The 3,239-nt window shown below is 38.6% G+C and overlaps 1 pseudogene, besides 1 other annotated feature; it reads right to left on the reverse strand.

Moving 5' to 3' along the window:
- RNU6-535P (RNA, U6 small nuclear 535, pseudogene) lies at positions 758-864 on the reverse strand (annotated as a pseudogene).
- Positions 2,622-2,916: a silencer, noted in NCBI's record as "tiled region #3847; K562 Repressive non-DNase unmatched - State 21:Repr". NCBI's record gives its function as "represses a minimal TATA promoter and a strong SV40 promoter by Sharpr-MPRA in K562 cells {active_cell/tissue: K562}" and the evidence as "EXISTENCE:reporter gene assay evidence [ECO:0000049][PMID:27701403]".

Raw genomic sequence — 3,239 nt, forward strand, 5'->3', positions numbered from 1 at the left:
CTAAACTAATACACTTCTTCTGTTTGTTGCTAAGCAACCAAGCTGGGTTACCCGGAAGCAGCAGACTCCGCTGTCAGTCACCGGCTCCTTTCTGATAATTGACCATCAGAGAGTTTGCCTGGTAGGGGGAAGAGCTCGTAGTCAAAAGACTTTAGAAATCTTTTTAAAAATTCAGCTATCCAAAGGTTTGCCAAAGCGTTCTATCCTAGACAAACAAATGATGGCAAACGCACCTAATAGGTTACTAATCGGTAATAAAAGGAACGGTACGCCACACACAGGAATTGGGATGAAACTCAGATGCATTGGAAAGAATCCCAACACAAAAGAGTCCATCCTAGGCATTCTAGCTCATGTCTGTGAAACTCTAGAAAAGGCACATCGAATCTAAAGAAACAGAAAGTGAGGAAGGGCTGCCCGGGGCTGGGAATGGGCATCCCTAGAGACAGGGTGAAAGGAACTTGCGATGGTGGAAATGCGCCATCATCTACACCTTTATTTTATTTTTATGGATTTAGCGGGTACAAATGCATTTTAGTTACTTGGATAGACTGCATAGTGGTGAAGTCTGTGCTTTTAGCGTAACCATCACCTGAACGGTATAAATTGTACCCAATAGGTTATTTCTCATCCCTCACGCCCCTCCCAACTTCCCACTTTTTGGAGTTTCCAATGTCTATTCTTCACTCTGTCTGTCCATGTGTACCTATTGTTTAGTGAGAACATGCAGTATCTGACTTTCCGTTGCTGAGTTACTAAAAATACGGAACGCATCATGAATTTGCAAGTCATCCTTGCACGGTAGTCATGCTAATCTTCCCTGTATCTCTGCAATTTTAGTATATGTGCTGCTGGAGGGAGCACCCCATCATTTATATATTAATTGTGGCTGAGATTGCACAGATACAAATCAAAATGTCATTTAAATGGATACCTTTTATTGTATGTAAATTAATTAAAAAATGAAAGCTATGAGTGTGCATCACGGTTTATTACATTTTGACTTAGTTGTGTTATTTTTAGGGTTAGGAAGTCCTTTCCTATTGAGAGTCATTGTTTTACAGGGAAAGGAAATTCATGTCACATAAGTAAAATGCAACTTCATTTTTAAAGGAAGAATTTCATTTTTTAAAGGACATTTACTTGAGAAGTATTATAATTGATATTTCTTCCTTGGTTCCTTTTTTCCTGTCATTTTAATTTTTATTAAAATTATACATGCAAATAATTTAGAGCATCCTACTTATTGGAAGCAACTACTTTCAATTCTTTTCAGCTATTTCTTTTGGAATTAGTTTTACATTTCTAGTAAAATGTTTATACTACTGCTTCTTGACTTTTCAGATTTTGCTGTCTTGGTTTCTAACTCTAGAAATTCAGTATATAATATTCTTTCTCACCTTCTTCTCTCACCACACACACAGACACACACACACACACACACACACACACACACACACACACTTCCTGGTTCCTTATCTTCCCAATGTAGTTATACCATAATTTTGTTTAGATTTGTTTACCTTCTTGTGACTGTGTAAATGCCATTTGTTGCTGATATGAGTAGTAAACTATGATTACTTTTCCTTCCCTGCACAGCTTTTTGTTTTCCCTGGAGTTAATAGGTGCCAGGTTTTGTTTTGTGCTATTTGTTTGCTCAAGGGTCACTGCACACCTACCATCCTGGATCTTCCTCCACTATCATCCTGTCGAGTTTATTCACCTCTCATGGGACTGACACAGCTGTGCACTGGATCACATGTCTTATGAAATTCCCTTTCAAGGGATAAATGACAGCTCTGCACAACTACAAACGAGGACACTAAGACCAATAAAAAGACACAGACTAGCATGAAATAAGAGGTTTATGGTCTGATTAAAGTCATGTCCTTGTTGCACAATGGAAAATTGCAAGAGCAAAGATATTCTTTATAGAGTGGACCCTAGCCACAGCATGAAGGTTTCATGTTGCATGAAAAGACTCTGGACTTATGCCTTTCATGCAACTGGAATGTCCCCTAATATGTTTACCAGTCTTTTTCCCTTCATTCCTGCACACTGTAACCAAAGGAGAAACACTCTCCTGATTACTGTAGACAGGGACATTCTGAGGGGCCCTGAGCAGACAGGACCTTAGGTGACCCTGGTGCCTTTGCGTAGAAGAACCTTTCTCATAAGATAGTTTAACATTATTTATAATAAGGAGTCACCGAAAACAACTAAAGTATCCGACAACAGAGGGCAATTTCCAAAGGTTGACTTTAAAAAAAAAAAAAAATATATATATATATATATACACACACACACACATATTTTGGCACTTCACAGACAATCTCTAAGTATCACAACAAACCTGCAAGATAGATATTTGCATGACCTTTTTACAAAAGAAGAAACTGAAGTACAAAATGGGAATGTGACTTTCCCAAAGCCATTTAGCAATGAAAGGATAGAAGTTTAATTCCAAAGCCAGTACTTGTTACCATGTATTATGCTGCGTGACAGGCAAGACATCCTTTCCAGACATCCTGTCCTAGGATTATGTTTTGGTCTCTTGAGCAACACTTAACAGATATGTCTTCATTTTTAGTAACCTGTGAAGCAAGAAATTGGGAACTCCTAAAGGCTTCACTAGCCAGGACTAAGCACTTCAAGCAGGCAAAGGGGCAGATACTCAGAAAACCAGTGAAGGCCGGGGGGACACCAACAGCGTTTCCAGGGTTGTGAGTTAAAAAGGTAAACAATGCAAGTCAATTGGCAGATGGCCAACGGTCCTGTCTGACCTCACAGCACAAGATTTTCAGAACTGCATGCCCTTGACCGATAGAAACCCTGCAAAATACGTTCTAAGTATCACTATTTTGAAACTTGAGAGGACTGCAGAAAAATCCAGATGGCTTATATCCAAGAGAATTTTTGAGATACCACAGAAAATATAACAAGAGCTCAAATACAGAGATTTTTCCATTAAAAAGTACAATGTATAGCAACTTGTGAATCAAAAAAAAAAAAACAAAATACAAACAAACAAAAAAACCAGCTGTTACTTTGGCTGCCATTGCTATAATCTTGTTTCCTAACTGGGGCTCAGTGGAAGAGATTAATCTTCAAAGGCATACTTTGAAATCAATCTACACAGGAACGAAGACTAAAATCAGAGAAAACACGGAAGGGTTTGTAATTAGACTTCACTGTTTCTGAAGCAATTAGGCTGCAGGGAGCTATGCAAGCCATCCAAG

This window comes from Homo sapiens, chromosome 10, assembly GCF_000001405.40.
Source record: "Homo sapiens chromosome 10, GRCh38.p14 Primary Assembly".
Classification (NCBI taxonomy): Eukaryota; Metazoa; Chordata; class Mammalia; order Primates; family Hominidae; genus Homo; species Homo sapiens.